General features: G+C 37.2%; 1 protein-coding gene across 6 annotated transcripts in view; it reads right to left on the minus strand.

Moving 5' to 3' along the window:
- Nucleotides 1-21,621, minus strand: part of PRKD1 (protein kinase D1) — a 351,369-nt gene that overhangs the window by 286,123 nt on the left and 43,625 nt on the right. The window contains exon 1 of one of the 6 annotated variants that reach the window (XM_011536965.3): nucleotides 1,751-10,517. The exons of the other annotated variants lie outside the window; for them this stretch is intronic. The gene's annotated coding sequence lies outside the window, so the exon portion shown is untranslated. Of the gene's footprint in view, nucleotides 1-1,750; nucleotides 10,518-21,621 lie in introns of those variants that run through there. 6 annotated transcript variants of the gene reach the window in all.

Consider the following 21,621-nt stretch of genomic DNA (forward strand, 5'->3'; position numbering starts at 1 on the left):
CATTTCTCTGATGATCAATGATGTTTAGCACCTTTTCTTATGTCTGTTTGCCATTTGCATGTCTTCAAGAAATACCTATTCCAATCTTTCCCCATGTTTTAATCAGATAATTAGATTTTTTTTCCTATAGAGTTGTGTAAGCTCCTTATATATTCTGGTTATTAATCCTTTGTCAGATGGGTCATTTGCAAATATTTTCTCCTATTCTGTGGGTTGTCTCTTCACTTTATTTTTTCCTTTGCTGTGCAGAAGCTTTTTAACTTGATGTGATCCCATTTGTCCATTTTTGCTGTGGCTGCCTGTGCTTATGGGGTATTACTCAATAAATCTTTGCCCAGACCGATGTCCTGGAGAGTTTCCCCAAGCATTTTCTTTTGGCGGCTTCATAAAACAAAATTAGCTTTGACTTTGATAAAGACAGCAACATTCTAATAATCTGAATTATTTTGCCACTCTTTATAGAGAATTTCTTACTGAATGGCTGTAGCATAGTTCAAGGTTTCCTTTCAATCACCTCACAAGTGGGAAATACACATATATTAAGTAAAACTGGCAGAAAAGAGTCAGTTTAGGAGTCAAAAATTAAACAGCTTATTTATTTCACATTACAGACATTTAGGTAGGTCCCTTTAGTATCCTTTCAATATCATTCTCTTTGTCTTTTAATTAATAAGGTAGGTACATATTATTACTCATAGATTAAGGCAAAAACAAGATATCAGATATAAAAGTGTTTTGAAGACAGTGGAATTAAAAATGAAGTGGTTTTAACTAAATATTTCACCAATATGAGGAAAATCCCACTCCCCTGGAGATCGAAATGAGCCATCTTATTCTTCAGTTCTATTGTCTGTTCTATCGTCAACTCTAGTTTTTCCTTTCTCTCGAAATCTCTCACTCTACTTTGTTTAAAACAAACAAGCATGGATTTTAGACTTCTGGACTCGATTTGGCTTTTAGGACTAAATGTTGAATGTTAGACAAGCCCTGAGGAGATTTATATCTCCTCTGATCACAAAGTGACATATTATAACTGAAGAAAAACAGAGAAAAATAAATAAAGATATAATGAAAAATTAACCAAAGTACATGAGGAAAATGTGACAACCTTCTCTCCCCCTTGGTTTTCAAGCTTCCTTGGAGCATTCTACAATCTTACTCTTTTTCAGGTTTGGATAATGTCCATTATATCTGGAGAACTGTGTCATGAAATACACACTTTTTCCCCAACAAAAATCAGTAGAGCATACAGAGTTTTTCAAAGAATCTAAGGTAAAATAATATAATCTCAAAAACACAAATGAATAACGGCAGTTTTAGCTACTTCTGGGAAACAATGTGGTGGTGAAGAACAGCTAAAATAATTTTTATGGTAAACCTGAAGTTAAACAGTATGATATTGTGTGCGGTAAAAATGCTTGTTTTTTCAAAATTCAGATGTAAGGTATCAGTTAAAGCATAAAATTTTTCTCTGAAGTAAGATAATAAAGAAAATATTTATTTTATAAATTAAATAAGAGAACTTAGCCACATTAATTAAAACATTTTGTCACTACTGGACAATGACCATATGTGAATTCCACAGGCAACATATTAATATTCCAACCAATATAACACAGTCAGAAGACAACTATATAACTGTACAGAAAGAATCAAAGAACATATATATATATTAAGTTTCATTCCAACCTACAAAGAGCCTGCACTTAAAAGTCTTAAAGGTTTCCTGAATCATGGAATCTCAACTTACCTGCCAATTAATCCAGTTCTCTCTTTTTAAATGCAGACTCCAACCTTAAACAGAAGGCATATTCTAGCTGACTTCTAAGTGTGTCCAAAGCATACCTCAGAGAGCCAAGTGGTCTGTGTTCAATACCTATTCTTTCTATAGAATCTCAAAAGTGGCAGTATGATGAAAAGAAAAGCTACTTTTTCTCCTAAAAATACCCCCCTTCATCATCAGTGTGTTGTCATTTTTGCATCACAAAGAATAGACATTCTAAATGTTCCCTTCCACACAGAAAGACATAAGAGAGAATGTGAGTATGAGTGAGAGTGTGTAGGTAAGTTGAGGGATAGTTTGCTATCCAAAATGAATCATTTTGAAGATGACTTTGTAAAGAAGTAATATAGTTAAAAATCTCAAGAGCATGAGATTGAGGAGGGCAGGGAAATAAAGGACCTAGGAATGGAAAAGAGTTAACAGCCCATGTGAATAACATAGCACAAACCTACCAGGTTTATTTCTGTGAATTCTCACACAGTTTGCTGGAAGATGCTCCTGAATTGTTTATAGGTCTAATCTTTAAGCCACATGCTCAAATAATTGTATCAGGTTTTCCCCCCAAATAGCTGTTCTTTAATGAACAGAGAAATCAGGGTAGTATCCTCCTGTCTTTAACCATTTTCTGTATTTTTCTGAGACACAAGTCACATGTGCCAACAACATCTAACTATAAAAATATACACAAAACTGCTACCAATGTATATCTATATTATCAATTGGTCAGGAAAAACTTACTGGACACTAATATGCAAGATGCAATGGACTCATGTGCCAAAGAATCACAGGATCAAATGCATTATGAAGATAAGGGAAGCATCACCAGAGTGGGTGACTGTTTGTCTTATTCCCTTTGTAATTACCTCTAGTCTCCAACACAACAGAATAGGCACTGAATAAACAGCCGTTAAATAAATAGGTTTTTTTAAAATGGTGCAAATAAGGAAATCAAAATGGTTACAGTTTGCTGTGGTTCCAACGTCCCTATAAAACCCATGTTGAAACTGAATTACTATTGTGATGGTATTAGAAGCTGAGGCCATTAAGAAGTGAAGTGATTCATCCTTGAGGGCTCTGCCCTCATGAATGGATTTATGTCTTTATTGTTTGAGTTGGTTCATTATCACAAGAGTGGCTTGTTATAAAAAGCAAGTTTGGCCCCATTTGCTCTCTTGCTTTTGAGCTCTCTTGCATTTCCATCTTCTGTCATGGGATGATGAGGCACAAATGCCCTCACCATATGTCAATGCCACGCTCTTAGATTTCCCAGTCTCCAGAACCAGAAGACAAATAAAGTTCTGTTCATTATAAATTACTCAGTCTGTGATATTCTGTTACAGCAGCATAAAAGGACTAAGACATGGTTGTTTTAGTTACCTGGGTCTTGCCACTTACCATGTCTCTGTGCTGCTTTCTGGCAACAGCAGCAAATCCCAAATTCCACTTACCTGGCTTCTCTCCAGATTACCTATAACAACAAACCTTCTGCTAGTCCTGTATGTTACTGACTATCCATTAACTTCCATACATCTGGGATACAATAATAATTGACAATTCAGGTTTATAAGATATTTTTTAACCTAGAAAGATTGTCTTGCACTCAGTATTCTTTGAATATAATTTTTAAAAAATCTATAATTTTGCATTATCCAAAAATCAAAATGAACAAAAAGTACTGTTTTCAGCCATGTCAGATGATGATGTTTATTACAGATAAATCATTCTGAAATTTCACATAAGATAAAGTGATACAGAAAAGCAGCCATAAAAATTTAGAAGCTATATTGCTGATATTTCAGACCAAAAAAAAAAAAGGTTTAACCTTGAATACCTTAACTATGCCATTTAAACATCTAACATATCCCTCTCCATCAGCTTCTTACTGAAATAACAGGCACTACAATCATTTTATATACAAAGCAGTCAAATGGTTAATTTCTTAATTGGCTACGTATTAGCATCATATACCATTCTATACTATGTAGTTGGTTTTTATTTAGCAGCTATACATGAGAAAAATTCTCCTTAATCTTCCATGATCAAATATTTTCCCCATGTCTTTCCTAAGATATTTTATTGAGACATATTACAAAGACATATGAGAAACTATTACACACTCAAGGTGTTTAAGTCTAGTTGGGAAAATAAGATCTGTGAGACAAAGAATAAAATACAGTGAAAGCACAGACAAAAGGAGGCAGACACAACTCTGCATGTTTAGGGGAGAGACAGATGACACAACAGGGGATGGGGGCAGTGCAGAAAGAGGTGATTAGAAATGACTTCCAGGAGTTGATGCTTACAGGATGGATGGGATTTAGACAGAGAAAAAGGAAAGGCATAGAGCAGATCTAAACAGGATTTACAAAGAAGAATGTGGCAGAGGTAGGAGGTTACTAAATGGCATCATTGGAGAATCAAGTTAGAATGATAAAAGTATTGTGGCAGCTTGTGAGCACCGGATTTTGTTTTATAGACAAGTCTGGAGCACTTGAAGGCATGAACTGAGACTTATATACCAAGTGCCTAATGAAGCCTCACACATGGTGGACACTCAAATCTAACAATCCTCACTTCCCCTCCACTTGACATTGGCCTCTTACACCCATAGTCTCACCCCCAAAATTGTTCTAAGAACTGCTGGACACTTATAATTTTCTAATGTCATCTGGCTGCAATCTTTTATCTTTCTGGCTCTCTCAACTGCTCATTCCCACTATACCTGCTCCTCAATTGGATAGAAGCTTCAATCTCATAATTTTGGCACTGTCTATAAATTCCTTCCCAACATCATTCTGTAGTGGGGGAGACAGAAAATAACAAAGCAAATAAATGTATGTTTAGAACTGTTAATGTACTATAAGAAAAACAATGTAACAAAAGAGAGTTGCAGGGAAGGCCCATTTACATAGTGGTTGGGGAAAGAATCTTCAAGGAGTGACATTTAAATGTCACAAGATAAGACATGAAGAAAGGGAAGAAACTTTGAAAAGAACAGGGAATAGAATATCCTAGCAAGAGGAACAGCAAAAGCTCACCGTGCAAAGGCTCAACTGAGAAAGATCCTGGCCTCATCTGTGCACAGAAAGGTGGCCAGTGTTGCTGGAATTCAATGGGTAAAGGATGAAATACAATGAAATGAGGTTTGAGAGGGTGGCAGGGGCCACATCACACAAGACTCTGTGAGCTATGACAAAGACTCTGAAATTTAGGAAAATGGTAATGGGACTTCCTTGAAAAGTTTTAAGCAGGACGGTCATGTGATCAAATCTGTGTTGCTAAAAGATGCCCATGGCTGTGCCATGAAGGAGTGGTACAGAGGCAGAATGAGCCAGGGGGTATCTGCAGGAAGGTTTCTGACACTCTGCTTAGTGCAGAGCCTGGCATATAGGAAATGTCCCAAAAGTAGATGATGGAGTTAATGAATAAATGAGCCAACAACCCAGAAATTTGGAAGAGGCAGTTACAAATTAGTTTTAGAATACTTAGTCTGTGTTTTAAACTATAAAGAATCTATGAAGGAAACAGGGTGGGATTAGTCATAGACCCTGAATATTTGAACCACTAGAAAGCATTCTACAGTTGATTCTGATTTCTCAAAATTAAAAGTCAGCATTTATAGGCTTTCCATATTCCAAAACAGCTTAACAGAATAGGGATCTTATTTATGCAAAAAGATTAAATTGCTCTGCGTAAGCTGTTCCTCGACTTCAATAACAGTCTTTTGTTTGTTTACCTTATGTCTGGCCAAGTGTGTTTATGTGTATGTTGTGAGTGTGTATGTGTGTGTGTAATGTATATGTTCAGAGATGCTGATGACTGATGGTCAATCAAGAAAAACCCACGCTGAAATTGTTAAGAGCTGGGAAGTGAGCCAGTTTGCAATCACTATAGGAACTGCTTGAGCAAAATTCCTTGCTACCACTCTGGTAATAAGCATTCTTCAAAAGATGCCACTTTGCATAGTTTAGTCCTCTCTGATGCAAAAGATGTCTCTTCTGAAATCAGTCTGAATTGTTTTAAAAAGGAGTGTCAATAAAATTAAACCCAACCTATACACTGATTTCAAGAACAATAAAAATAAATAGTAGCCTTATGCTGTAAAGAAGTCTGTATGAAGCGTATGGAGGTACATACACTTGGAGAGATTTGGCACTGAATCTTACCTTCACTGCATTTTTTTCATTTAGTTTTCATAAACTTATATAATAGAGGAATGAGAGGTGAAAAATCCAATAATTACTACTAACAATTTTTCCTCAAAAATAATGAAGAAGAGAAATAGGTTTACTTGGAGTAAAGTGCAGCTTTTCAAAAAGACACATTTTTAAAAAGCAAAAATTGATAGATTATTAGCATATAAATTCACATTCTTTTGCTTTGCAAATGTTTTCATGGAACAATGAAACACTAGGCACAGTAATATCAAGTTATTATTCTAGTTCCTATGGAAACATGCATTCTACTTACTGAGGCCAATCGATACGGACACAAGTGCAAGGCAAATACACTTAGGGAGAAATCATATAATTTATATCTCTAGTAAAATGTGCTCATAGCTATCAGAAATAATAGCAAAAAAAGAACTCAAAAGTCACTGAGGAATGTTCTCTGAAGTTATTAGCCACTAGTACCATTATGAAAATCAAAGCAAAACATAATCCTAAATTCTAGAATCCTACACTTGGATTTGGTGTGTGCAAACAAACATCAAGCATACAAAGATGAAGGCTGAAAACAAACTAGATCCAGCTCTTACTTTAAAAAAGAAGAAGAGGCTGGGTGTGGTGGCTCATGCCTGTAATCCCAGCACTTTGGGAGGCCGAGGAGGATGGATCACCTGAGATTAGGAGTTTGAGACCAGCCTGGCCAACATGGTGAAACCCTATCTGTACTAAAAATACAAAAATTAGTTGGGCATGGTGCCACGTGCCTGTAATCCCAACTACTCAAGAGGAGGCAGGAGAATTGCTTGAACCTGGGATGGGGAGGTTGCAGCAAGCAGAGATCGCACCATTGTACCCCAGTCTGGACAAGAGCGAAACTCCATCTCAAAAAGAAAAAAAAAAAAAGAAGAAAGAAAGAAATATTTGCCTATGCTGAACATCACCTTGTTCAGTAAATCTCAGTAACCAAAAATGAACAGGAATCTCATAAATAAGGTCATACAGAAAAGAATACATAGTACTTTTTGTAAAGCTGTTAGTTATAAAGAATTTGACACCACAAGAGAATTAGATAAAAGTATAAATATATTTAAAAATCAAACAGCAAATATTTCTTGGGGACTTTACTGTGTGCCAAGCACTATGCTATGGTCCCCCAGTCTTTTTTAATCTCATTATATTTATTCTCAAGTCTGCCCAGAGCGACAGCATAAAAACTAACCTATTTCTACACCATTTTTCTACATTAAACACCCACTCAAACAAGGAGCCCAATGTAGTCCATGTTCTTCCTCTTTTTATTTTGGCCTACAATATTTGCTTTTCTTTGAAAGATTGCCATGGCAGGGGGTGACTGGCGAGAGGTGGGTATCTTCTTCTCAAAAAAGGAAGATCACCATCATTGCCCACTTTCTCCTTTCCTCATTCTTAATGATTCTCCTTCAATATGGTTAACTTATGGCTCCACAGTCATCAACTCCAGCTGATTTTCACTTATTATTATTACCGAGGTGGGGCAAATAAAAGCAATCAGGTGAAACCCTTGGTTCAGATTTCCTCCATATTTCATGAAATCCATCAAACAAATGCCCAGATTATATTTCACTGTAAGATGAGCAAAAGCACACCTCTTCAGCTGCACCCCCTTTCCTCGTGCATTCATGGATGCCAAAATCAGAACCTACAGTTCAGGAGCTGCACACAGTTGCATCTTGTTTTGAGTTTTTGTTTGCAAACTGTCAGTAAGATCAGAATAAATTGCATGATATGCAGTCCAATATGTATATTCTTGAGCACGTCTCAATGTACCCACCAAAAAATATTCATAGCTGCAGGTGTAGAAAAAAAAAGGCAGAATTATGGCTTGATTTGCCTTGATAAGCATGGTAATTTTCTGTACACTTTTCATAAAGTGCTAATCAATTTCAGCTCAAAATAGATTGAAACACCCAACAGATTGCTGCCATAGTCCACAAATGTTTGTCATTCGTAAGCTGTGGCAATAATGTGAATACAGAGGAGGGAAACTGCAACTGAACTACACCTTGTAAAAATTCCTTTCATTTGCTTTGTAATAACCCCTGAAGAAATGTTAAGAATTATTTTGAAATCACATATGTTTGTAATTTCCATTTTTTCTTGCTACATCTAAGAGTATTTCTTGTCACACAGTAATATTATGTGTCTATTATATGGTTATAAATGAATTATATTTAAAACTCAGTGTAATAATGACATTTATGACTCAGAGATCATGTTTATATTGTTTAATACTCCTCTAAAATATAATTACAGACTTTAGCTCTATTACATACAACTTAGAATTGAATCATCACAGACTTCTACACTGAATCGTCTTTTCTATCAACATGTTAAGCTATTAGAAGTAGTATAATTTTTTGAAAATGCTTTGTCAATATTCTAGTCCTTCTACCTTTGCTATTTCACAAACACTTAGAGGTGCTAATATTCATACTAATGCACCTTTTCAATTGGCAGTGCTCTTGCCACATGAATCGCTCATCTGCCCAGGATGTTTTGCCAAACATAGGTGACAAAACTTTACTGAGGACTGTCATACTCCTACACAGGGAGCCTCTGCTCAAAACTGAGCAGAGACCTTCCCTTTGGTAAGTGTGAGCAACAATTGGAAATGACATTTAATCTGGGTATGGAATACTCTCCACGGAAAGTAGGAAATTAAATGAGAATAGATAACATTTCAAATTTTCACACCTTCCTCTTCTAAACTACAAAAGTGATAATATAATTTTTTAGGATAAAAACTATACAATTTGACTTTAGAAAAAAGAGTACTTAAAAGTTGTGACTTTAAGCAACTTCTGTGATCACCATCTGCCAAAAACTTTATTGCCAAAATGAGAGGCAGGAGAGTGTAGTAGATGCAGCTCTGTATTCAGAAAGTCTGAGTTCTTATTTTGAATCTGCCATTTAATATGTGACCTCGAACAAGTGACTTGCCCTCTCTGTGTTTCAGCTTGCTCATTTATAAAAAGGGGGTTATAAGTGTAACTAATGTAGGATTATCCTGAGATTAATAAATGAGATAATATGTGCAAAGATCTGAGCAAAGCTGCTTCAAGTCAATTCTCAATTAATAGCTGCCTTATCATCACCATCTACTTGAAAGAGCAGTTGTAGGCCCATGGGTATGAGTATGATGGTAAGTGCTCTTACCCTGCTTCATATGACTTGTCCATTGAGTGCTTGTTTCTTGCTCTGGGTCCTCTTGGGTCACGTGTATTAACCTACTTTCCAAAAGAGACAATAAAATGTTTGGAAATCAAGTCAGCTCTGCATGAGGTGGTAAACTATTGGCCCAAGCTACCACCTACTAATCCAGTTAAAGTGATGAAAGGGGTGTGTGAAAGATGTAAAACACTCTTAGAATGTTTATGTTCTTGATTCACCTGCATATATGGAAAATGTCATTTTCAGTTTATTGCAGACCTAATACAGCAGCAGCTGGGTTCAGTGAAAAACAGTTTCCAGGATCTTATTCTCATAATCTATTTATATGCCTGGAACTGAGCTATATAATCACCTCTGCTAAACTGTTAGATTGACAGAACCCATTGAGGAAGAAGTTTATGTGTTCTGACTTTGACAAACTGAATTTGAGGTTGTTTCAGGAGAGGAAATTCAAGCTATTCACGCAATTAAAAAACAGAAGCATACAATTCAGAAAAAATTTATTAGTGTACTTAAAATATAATGACAAAAATACATTTTAAACATTCTTAAATAATTACTAGAATGAAAAGGAAAAAAGCTCACTGCTCTGACTCAAAAGTCACTTAAAATCTCCACACCAGGTGGGGTGGCTCACGCCTGTAATCCCAGCACTTTGAGAGGCCAAGGTGGGTGGATCACGAGTCAGGACCATCCTAGCCAACACAGTGAAACCCCATCTCTACTAAAAATACAAAAATTAGCCGGGCATGGTGGCTTGCACCTGTAGTCCCAGCTACTCGGGAGGCTGAGACAGACAGGAGAAGTGCTTGAACCCGGGAGGCGGAGGCTGCAGTGAGCCGAGATCAAGCCACTGCACTCCAGCCTGGGCAACAGAGTGAGACTTTGTCTCTAAAAAAAAAAAAAAAGAAAAAAAAAATCTCCACACCAAATATATCCCTTTTCTTTCTTGCCCTTTAGAATATTTCTACCTGGTGGTTGCTGTGGAACAAATCAATCTACAAAAGGAGTCAAAACAGAAACATATTCAAGAAAATTCAGGCTATTGACATATACATCTGTATTTAGAAGCTGTTATTTACTTGAGATCAAAGAGCCATTTGTCAGTTTCCCTTTGACACTTGATTACATTTTACATATTTGTGTTTTTCTTGAAAATGCCAAAACATCAGCACAAACAACTTCTAGGATAAACTATCACCATATTCACTTTTCCAAAGGCAAATTAAATATTATACAATGCATAAGTGAGGAGTACAAAGCCTTAACAAACACTGCTTTACAAGTAATTTTGATGCTGCCTATACTACTTTTTTTTATTATTTTACTTTTTATTTTTTGAGATGGAGTCTCGCTCTATCACCCAGGCTGGAGTATAATGGCAAGATCGCAGCTCACTGCAACCTCCACCTCCCAGGTTCAAGCGATTCTCCTGCCTCAGCCTCCTGAGTAGCTGGGACTACAGGTGCCCGCCAACACACCTGGCTAAGTTTTTGTATTTTTAGTAGAGATGGGGTTTCACCATATTGGCCAGGCTGGTCTTGAACTCCTGACCTCAGGTGATCTGCCTGTCTCAGCCTCCCAAAGTGCTGGAATTACAGGCATGAGCCACTGCGCCCAGCCATACTACTTTTATAATTTCAGGCACTCTCTCAAGGACAAACTTTTGGAACTTTAGCTAGATATTAGGTCAAAATCAGATTTTACAAGAGGTTACTGATACAAAAAAAAAAAGTCAAATCTTGCATAGAGCTAAAGAAAGATCACTATCTATACAAAATGCTTTGTACATAACAGATATTCAACATGCATTTGTGAACTCAATAAATAGCTTTCAGTGCAAAAGGTCCTTTGTATACATTAAACAAATATTTAAAGTGTCTAAATATGTAAGATGCATTTTAGTTATTTTTTTCATCAGTAGTTTACACAAGTTGGGGGGCACCCATCCCAGAAATGGGCAAGAAAAAACACTGTAAAAATAGATGAAATATTAGAGATTATGTTCATATTAATATTAATCTTATTTTTATAAAATACATAGTTGTATATAATATATAAATTATTTTAATAAAGTAGCACATATATAATTATACACACACATACACACAGCTGCACTGGAATATGTGGCCAAATTTGTTTATGCCACTAGTGTGTGTGTTTAAAAGACTATAAACACTATATAAAATGAAAAACTCTTCATTCACAGATCAAATCTATGTTGTCATTTTACATATTATGAAAATTTATTTGCTAGAGTTCTAACATTCTTCACAAATATGACTGGCTACTCTATTAATGTATATTTCTTTTGCTTGGTTGTATACACAGTAAAAGACACATGTATCCTGAATAATCAGAGTTTTTCATAATCTCAGCTTTGAGTTTTAGCTGATGTTTATGGGGAGAAAAAATAACAGTCTTTGCCAGAAAACATACAAGTGCCAACAGATATATGAAAAAGTGCTCAATATCACTAAGCATCAGGGAAATGCAAATCAAAGCCACAATGAGATAGCATCTTATCCCAGTTAGAATGGCTTTTAAAAAGATAAAAATAACAGATTCTGGTGAGGATGCAAAGCAAAGGGAACTCTTATAAACTGTTGGTGGGAATGTAAATTAGTATGACCACTACGGAAAACAGTATGAAGATTCCTTCTAAAACTGAAAGAACTATCATATGATCCAGCAATCCCACTGTTAGGTATCTATCCAAAGGAAAAGAAATTAGTATATCAAAGAAACTTGCCTTATCAAAAGCCTGCACTTGCAAGTTTATTGCAGCACTATTCACAACAGCAAAGATACAGAATCAACCTAAGTGTCCATCAATGGGCAAAAAGATAAAGACAATGTGGTCTACATACACAACGGAATACTATTCAGCCATACAGAAAGAATGAAATCTTGTCATTTGCAACAACATGGACATAAACTAGAGGTCATTATGTTAAGTGAAATAACCCAGGCACAAAAAGACAAATTACGTATGTTCTCACTCATAAGAGTTTTTTAAAAAATTGATCACAGGGAGATAGAAAATAGAATGACAGATAGATCAGATGCTGGGAAGGGTATGAGGGTAGGATGGGGAGATAAAGAGAGGGTTTGTGGTTGGGTGTAAATTTACATTAAGAAGAAGTTCTAATGTTCCAAAGCAGACCAGGGTGACTATAGTTAGCAACAATATATTGCACATTTCAAAGTAGCTAGAAGACTTGATCATTACACATTACAAGCATGTATAAAAAATTCACTTGTACTCCATAAATATGTAAAATATGTATCAATAAAAAACAAATGAAAACCAATGATGAATAAGGTAAATATATTAATTCTTTATACTTGTAAAGATTTTACCCTGAGAGATGCAACACACCTATCTTAGGCAAATCTTTTAAATTTCCTAAGCCTTGGTTTTTACATAAATAAAATGGAGATAATAATGCCTTTCCCAGAGATAGATAAAATGGTGGGGTGACGGGGAAGTACACAAAAGCCCAGATGGTAGAAAGTCTTACTGTTAAGGTCCAGGAATAATATGTAAAAAAATGCTTATAAAATGATGTTAATAAAAAAGAAGTAAATTAAATTGTGCCTATGATGCAACTAACAAGTGATTCAATATCATAATATTTGCATGTGGACAAAGACTAGGAATGCATATAAACACATGAAAACAGGTAATTTATTAGAGGCAAAACTGTGCATAGCTGTTTTCCTTTTCTCATTTCTGTTATTGTTGGCATAATATTGTTTGTGCTATGCATTTTAAATGACAATTTTGACAGCCTTGACAAAAGAATTATAAGAATTGTTATTTCCAATAAATGACATGTTAAAGATAAGCAATTTATCTATTCACTAAAGGCAAACAACAATTTAGGTTTATTTTATTTATGCACTGCTGATGTCCATTTAAACAACATTGTAAGTTTATGGTATCATAAGGAGATGTATTAAAAAGGCTTGTTGGTTTGTTCTGGTTTTTTTTCTTTGCTTATCTGTAAAAATAATAACTAGTTATTGCTACAACCAGCTTGTTTTACTTAATATATAATTCCACATTTCCCCAGTAACACTTACTCTCATTTTCTACAACTATTTCAAGTCTTCTCCAAGCTCCTCAAACTGCCAAATCCATTCCCTCCCACCTCTCTTTGACAGCAACAGAATTCGTCAGACTATCAGCACTTTTGTATGAGTGCTGGTGCCCTGAGCCCCAATTCCAAAAGGGCAAGGTGAAGAGAACCAAGAGATACATACCATGACTTGTTACAGGAGAAGAACCCTATCTCAGAAAACTCAAATCTTTTATAATGGGCAGTGAGTATGCCTCCCATTTGCTTCAGAGGGAGAAACATACTATATCTTCCAAGGCTATTCACTATTCAAACATTCTCAAAATGATAGTCTGGAACAAAAACAGTCAGTGTCCCTGCTTGTAAAACATGCAGCAATGCGAGACCCATGGAGAATTATCTCACTATATGTGGTTCCATTTATATGTCATTTTTGGAAAGGCAAAACCATGGGGATAAAGAACAGGTCATTGCCAACCAGGGATCAAGAGTTTGCCTACAAATGGAGGAGTATAAAGGAATTTTGGAGGATGATGAAAATTTTCTGTATCCTGATTTGGGTGTATCCTGATTTTGGTGGTAGATACACAAATCTATGCAAGTGTTAAAATCCACATAGCTTTACACTCCAAAACAAGTAAATTTTACTGGAAATTTACTTTTAATTTAAAAATTGCATGTGCAACCAAAGGAAAAAATAGACAAACAGAACTTCATCAAAATTTAAATTTCTGTTGATCAAAGGCCATTATCATGACAGTGAGACAATGCCTAAAATGGGCTTGCAAAAAAAAAAGCCAATTTCATATATAAGGCCAAACTCTAGTATCTATTTTATAAAAACTCCAACTCTACAGCAAAAACAAACAAACAAAAAAAAACAAAAAAAAGCACCCAATCAAAAACCAGGCAAAGGACTTGAATAAATATTTCTCCATAGAAAATACACAAATAGACAACACATGAAAAGATGTCTGCAATCATTAGTCATTAGGGAAATGGAAATTAAAACCACAAGGAGAGTCGAGCATGGTGGCTCAGGCCTGTAATCCTAGCACGTTGGGAGGCCGAGGCAGGAGGATCATTTGAGGCCAGGAGTTCAAGACCAGCCTGGCCAACATGGTGAAACCCCGTGTCTACTAAAAATACAAAAATTAGACAGGTGTGGTGGTGTGTGCCTGTAACCCCAACTACTCGCGAGGCTTAGGCAGGAGAATTGCTTGAGCCCAGGAGGCAGAGGTTGCAGTGAGCCAAAATCGTGCCACCGCACTCCAGCCTGGGCCAGAGAGCAAGACGCAGTCTCAAAGAAAAAAAAAGAAGAAGAAGAAGTAGGTACACTACAACAGAGAATAACAAGTGTTGACAAGAATGTGGAGAAACTGCAACCCTGGTACACTGCTGGTAGGGATGTAAAATGTTGCAGCTGCTATGGGAAAAAGTTTGGCAGTTTCTCAAAGAGTTAAACATTATGTTGCCCAATTTTAAATGGGGTTGCTTTGTTTTTCTCATACATTTAAGTTCCTTACAGATGCTGGATATTACACCTTTGTCAGATGCATACTTTGCAAATATTCTCTCATTCTGTAGGTTGTCTGTTTACTCTGTTAATAGTTTATTTTGCTGTGCAGAAGCTCTTAAGTTTAATTAGATCCCACCTATCAATGTTTGCTTTTGTTGTGATTGCTGCTGGCATGTTTGTCATGAAATTTTTGCCAGTTTCTATGTCCAGAATGGCATTGCCAAGGTTGTCTTCCAGGGTTTTTATAGTTTTGTTTTACATTTAAGTCTTTAATCCATGATGAGTTGATTTTTGTATATAGTATAAGAAAGAGGTCCAGTTTCACTCTTCTGCATATGGCTAACCAGTTATCCCAGCACCATTTATTGGATGGCACTTCCTTAAAGAGCTAAAAACAGAACTACCATTCAACCCAGCAATCCCATTACTGGGTATATACCCAAAGGAATATAAATCATTCTATCATAAAGACACATGCAAGTGAATGTTCACTGCAGCACTATACACAATAGCAATGACAGGGAATCAACCTAAATGTTCATAAATGGCCGATTGGATGAGGAACATGAGGTACATATACACCATGGAATATTATTGCAGCCATAAGAAGAATGAGATCCTGTCTTCTGTGGGAACATGGATGTAGCTGGAGGCCATTATCCTTGGCAAACTAACCTAGGAACAAAAACCAAATACTTCATGTTCTCACTTATAAGTGGGAGCTAAATGATGAGAACACATGGACACAAACAGATGAACAACAGACACTGGAGCCTACTTAAGGGTGGAGGGTGGACAGAGGGAGAGGATCAGAAAAAATAACTATTGAGCACTTGGCTTAGTACTTGGGTGATGAAATAATCTGTACCACAAACCCCTGTGACACAAGTTTGCCTATATAACCAAGCTGCACATGTACCCTGAATCTAAAATAAAAGTTTTTTTTTTAAAGAAAAATCTGGAGTTCTAATGACAAAAAAAAAAAAAAAAAAAAACCTACACACGGAATTACCACATGGCCCAGCAATTCCACTCTTAGGTATATACTGAAAAGAAGTGAAAACACGGATTCAAACAAATACTTGTACAACAATGTTCACAGCAGTACTATTCCCCACAGCCAAAAGGGAGAAACAACCAAAATGTTCACAGATGAACATATAAACCAACTGCAGTATATACAGAGAAGGGAGTATTATTCAACCATAAAAAGGAATGAAGTTCTGATACATGCTACAACATGGATGAGCCTTGAAAACATTACACTAGGTGAAATAAACTAGACACAAAAGAATGAACATTGTATGATTCCACTTATATGAAATATTTAAGATAGCCAAATTCATGGAGACAGAAAGAAGGTTAGAGGTTGCCAGGGGCTGAAGGGAGGACAGGAATGGGGAATTATTGCTTAATAGGTACACAATTTCTGATTGGGGTGATGAAAAAGTTCTGGAATTAGATAATCATGATGGTGAGAATATATTTAATATTACTAAATTGTACACTTAAAATGATTAAAATGGTAAATTTATACTATGTATCTCTCATTACAATAGAAAATTTTAATAAAATACATGAAAATTTAAAACCACCTAAAACCCAGATTCCTCCACAGTATAATTCTTGCTACTATACTCTCCTCCTTATAGTAAAAGTTATTGAAATGGTTGTCTTCACTCACAATCTTCACGTCTGCTCTAGCTCAGCACCCACCTTCAGCCTGCCTGGCCTCCTAGCTCTCTTCACCTGCTCTCCACCAAGGACATCACCCAGCACCTTGCACCAAATCCTTCTCTATTATGCTCACTGACTTCTGCCTCATTCCTAAAACACCCTGTGATATGGTTTGACTATGTCCCCACCCAAATCTCAACTTGAATTGTATTTCCCAGAATTCCCACATGTGGGAGGGACCGCGGTGGGGCGCGGGTAATTTAATCCTGGGGGCCGGTCTCTCCCGTGCTATTCTTGTGATAGTGAATACGTCTCACGAAATCTGGTGGGTTTATCAGGGGCTTCCACGTTTGCTTCTTCCTCGTTTTCTCTTGCTGCCACCACGTAAGAAGTACCTTTCGCCTCCCGCCATGATTCTGAGGCTTCCCTAGACATGTGGAACTGTAAGTCCAATTAAACCTCTTTTTCTTCCCAGTCTCCTGTATGTCTTTATCAGCAGCATGAAAACAGAATAATACACTAAATTTGTACTGGGAGTGGGGTGTTGCTGAAAAGATACCCAAATATGTGGATGCAACTTTGGAACTGGGTAAGAGACATAGGTTGGAACAGTTTGGAGGGCTCAGAAGAAGACAGGAAAATGTGGGCAAGTTTGGAACCTCCTAGAGACTTTGACAAAAACACTGATAGTGATAGGAACAATAAGGTCCAGGCTGAGGTGGTCTCAGATGGAGATGAGGAACTTGTTGGGAACTGGAGCAAAGGTGACTCTTGTTATGTTTCAGCAAAGACACTGGCAGCATTTCGCCCCTGCCCTAGAGATCTGTGGAACTTTGAACTTGAGAGAGATGATTTAGGGTATCTAGTGGAAGAAGTTTCTAAACAGCAAAGCATTCAAAATGTGACTTAAACGTGCTGTTAAACACATTCCATTTTAAAAGGGAAGCAGAGCATAAAGGTTCACAAAATTTTCAGCCTGATGATGCAGTAGAAAAGAAAAACCCATTTTCTGAGAAGAAATTCAAAATGGCTGCAGAAATTTGCATAAGTAGCAAGGAGCCTAATGTTAATCCCCAAGACCATGGGGAAAATGTCTCCAGGCCATGTCAGAGACCTTCATGGCAGCCCCTCCCATCACTGGCCCAGGGGCCCAGGAGGAAACAGTAGTTTCGAGGGCCAGGCCCAGGGTCCCCTTGCTGAGTGCAGCCTGGGAACTTGGTGCCTTGTGTCCCAGCCACTCCAGTGGCTGACAGTGGCCAATATAAAGCTCAGGCTGTGGCTTCAGAGGGTGGAAACCTCAAGCCTTGGCAGCTTCTACATGGTGTTGAGCCTGCTGGTACACAGAAGTCAAGAACTGAGCTTTGGGAACCTCCGCCTAGATTTCAGAAGATGTATAGAAATGCCTGGATTCCCAGGCAAAAGTTTGCTGCATGAGCAAACTTGGAGGGCCCTCATGGAGAACCTCTGCTAGGGCAGTGCAGAAAGGAAATGTGGGGTTGAAGCCCCCACACAGAGTCCCTACTGGGGGACCACCGAGTAGAGCTGTGAGAAGACAGCCACAGTCTTCCAGACCCCAGAATGGTAGATCCACCAACAGCTTGCACCATGCACCAAGAAAAGCCTCTGACACTCAATGCTAGCCCATGAAAGCAACCAGGAGAGAGGCTGTACCCTGCAAAGCCACAGGGGCGGAGCTACACAAGACCATGGGAACCCACCTCTTCCATCAGTGTGACCTGGATGTGAGACCTGGAGTCAAAGGAGATCATTTTGGAGCTTTAAAATTTGACTGCCCTGCTGGATTTCGGACTTGCATGGGCCCTTGCATGGCCAATTTCTCCATTTGGAATGGCTGTATTTACCCAATACCTGTACTCCCATTATATCTAGGAAGTAACTAGATTGCTTTTGATTTTACAGGCTCATAGGTGAAAGGAACTTGCCTTGTCTCACATGAGACTCTGGACTGTAGGCTTTTGGGTTAACACTGGAATGAGTTAAGACTTTAGGAGACTGTTGTGAAGGCATGATTGGTTTTGAAATGTGAGGACATGAGATTTGGAGGGGCCAGGGGTGGAATGATATGATTTGGCTGTTTCCCCACCAAAATCTCAACTTGAATTGTATCTCCCAGAATTCCCATGTGTTGTGGAAGGGACCCAGGGAGAGGTAATTGAATCCTGGGGACCGGTCTTTTCCGTGCTATTCTCATGATAGTGAATAAGTCTCACAAGATCTGATGGGTTTATCAGGGGCTTCCACTTTTGCTCCTCCCTCATTTTTTCTTGCTGCCGCCATGTAAGAAGAGCCTTTCACCTCCCACCATGATTCTGAGGCCTCCCAGCCTTGTGGAACTGTAAATACAATTAAACCTCTTTTTCTTCCCAGTCTCGGGTATGTCTCTATCAGCAGCGTGAAAATGGACTAACACACCACATTTCCTTAGTTTCCTGAAATGACACTCACAGTTTTCCTCCTCCATCTCTGACCCACTCCTTCTCCATTTTGCTTTTTATTTTTTTTGTTTTGTTTTGCTTCTGGTTTGTTTTGTTGGTGGTTTGGTTTGGTTAAGTTTGGTTGTGGGCCATTCAGTAGTAATTCTTTAATTTTTTCATCAGGTTCCAGTTTGGGGACCTCTCTTGATCCCATCCCATGGACTTTCACTTGGCTTATTCTTCCTCTCTCCCAAAACTTCAATAAATATGGATGTGTTTCCCAAAACTTCTCCTTTTTTTGTCCTTATCTAATTGAACTGCTCAATTACTCACCCAAGTCATAATATCATCCTTTACCTTTCCCTCCCCACCCAAAGAAGTTATTACTTCTTCCATAAAGTGTTCCTCATACCAGAAATCCTAAACTCCCAAAACTTTCTATCTCTTCTCATGGAGCACGTCTTACTTATCCCTTCCATAGTTTTATAGTTTTTTAGCATAATTTTCTATTTCTGTGTTATTCTCCCATTTCCAAATGCAATTGATTTCAGACTCCTTAAGGACAAGATTTAACTTATACATCAATATATATCAGAACTCAGCTCAATCCCTGACACAACAGTAAGCAGTCAATAAATATATGAATAACTTTCTTGATTACAAATTGATAACCATAAAAACAAAGCATTTCTGCTAAATACATATTTGAATATTGTGATTTCAGTATATTAGTTAGCTTTCAATTAATCTACAAATAATAATTTATCATGTCCATGTTTTCCACCAAAAATAAATAAAATAGGGCAATTTAGGACAAATAGTGACTCACCACTGAAACTTAACCAATGTTGTCTAATATATTTCCAGTGAATTCGTTATCATGTATTATACGATGATTATGTTAAAGGCCCAAAGACTAGTCCTAGGTATTATTCTTTAGAAACAATTATGGCTAAAAATAAATAAGCTCCAGTCCAAATTACTCTAAAAATTGTGTTTTTCTCCAGTTTATTTATCTTTTATTAGTTGTGGTGAGATAATATGACATAAAATTTACCATCTTAACCATTTTAAAGTGTACAGTTCAGTAATGTTAAGTGTATTCACAGTGCTGTGCAAAACATTTCTATCTTGCAAAACCGAAGTTCTATATCCACTAAACAACTCCGCATTTTCCCTCTCCCCAGCCCCTGCCAACTGCCATTCTACTTTCTGTTTCTCTATATTTGACTACACTAGACACCTCATACAAGTTAAATCAGAGAGTATTTGTTTTTTTGTGACTGGTTTCTTTAAACTTAGCATAACATCCTCAAGATTCATCAATAGTCTATCATGTATCATGTATTACTTCTTTTTTAAGGTTGAACAATATTCCACTGTGTGTGTGTGTGTGCACGTGTATACCACGTTTTGTTTAGCCATTCGTCCATCAATGGAACTTGGGTTGCTTCGACCCTTTGGCTACTGTATTACGTTGTTCTAGCATTGCTATAAAGACCTGAGGTTGGGTAATTTATAAAGAAAAGAAGTTCTGCAGGCTATACAAGCATGGTGCTGGCATCTGCCTGGCTTCTGGGGAGGCCTCAGGGACCTTTTACTCATGGTGGAAGGTGAGGCAGGAGCAGGCATGCCACATGGTGAAAGCAGGAGCAAGAGAGAGTGGGGAAGGGTGCCATCCACTTAAAAAACCAGATCCCATGAGTATTCATTATTGCAAGAACAGCATCAAACCATGAGGCTCCACCCCCGTGGCCCAAACACCTCCCACCAGGCCCCACCTCCGCATTAAGGATTACATTTCAATATAAGGTTTGGGTGGGGACAAATATCCAAACTATATCAGCTGCTATGAACAGTGTCTCCAGTTTCTTTCAATACAGAAAAATTTTTAAATGATATCACAACCCTTATAAAGAACTAAAAGTTTACAGAAAAGAGAAGTATTTTACCATGTGTATATTTATTGCATTTTTCTCTATATATTATTTTTAGATGAAATTTTATCTTTGTGACTAACACTTTCACTAACAGACATATGTTTAACACAATCCAAACATCAAGTCTGTTCTAAAAATGCATATTCATTCACTTTAATGACAAAGTGGCTCTTTTTAGCTACATTTAGAAGGAACTTACTTTGGGAAAAGACTTGTTTACTGATTTCTGAGTTATACTTGATGGACATATCACCAAATACTTTATCTCATGTTTGAATTTGTAAATGACCATTAGTCTTTAGGAGATGTACCTGAGATTTGCCACCTAAACTCATAGTCCAGAGACCCCCAAGATTGGAAACAAAGACAAGTAAAAATGAGTAAAACGAGAACACAAGTCACAATTATGAAAACTTCTGCAATCTGTCTTTACTTGCTGCTCTCAGATGCATCACTGTCAGCATCTGACCCTGTTAGGTGGCTGATAAGAGGATTTTGAAGGCCAGCAGATTTTATTTTTAACCTCCCCATATGGTTGACCTTCTAATTTCAATGAGAGCATCATCTGCAGAGATGATCATCAAATGGCAACTCCTACCCTAAAATGTTTTGTGTAATTTGGTCAACTCAAAAGTGATGCTCAGTTAAAGAACAATATGTGCAGTGTGATCTCCTTTTTACTTAAAAGTTTGTACATAAATACATTTTCAAAGGTCTGCAAGGCTACAGATGAAAATATCAAGAGTCATTTCCTGTTATTGGGGTTAAAAGCATTTTTTTAAAACAATGAATGCAATTTGTAT

Source organism: Homo sapiens, chromosome 14 (assembly GCF_000001405.40).
Source record: "Homo sapiens chromosome 14, GRCh38.p14 Primary Assembly".
NCBI lineage: Eukaryota > Metazoa > Chordata > Mammalia > Primates > Hominidae > Homo > Homo sapiens.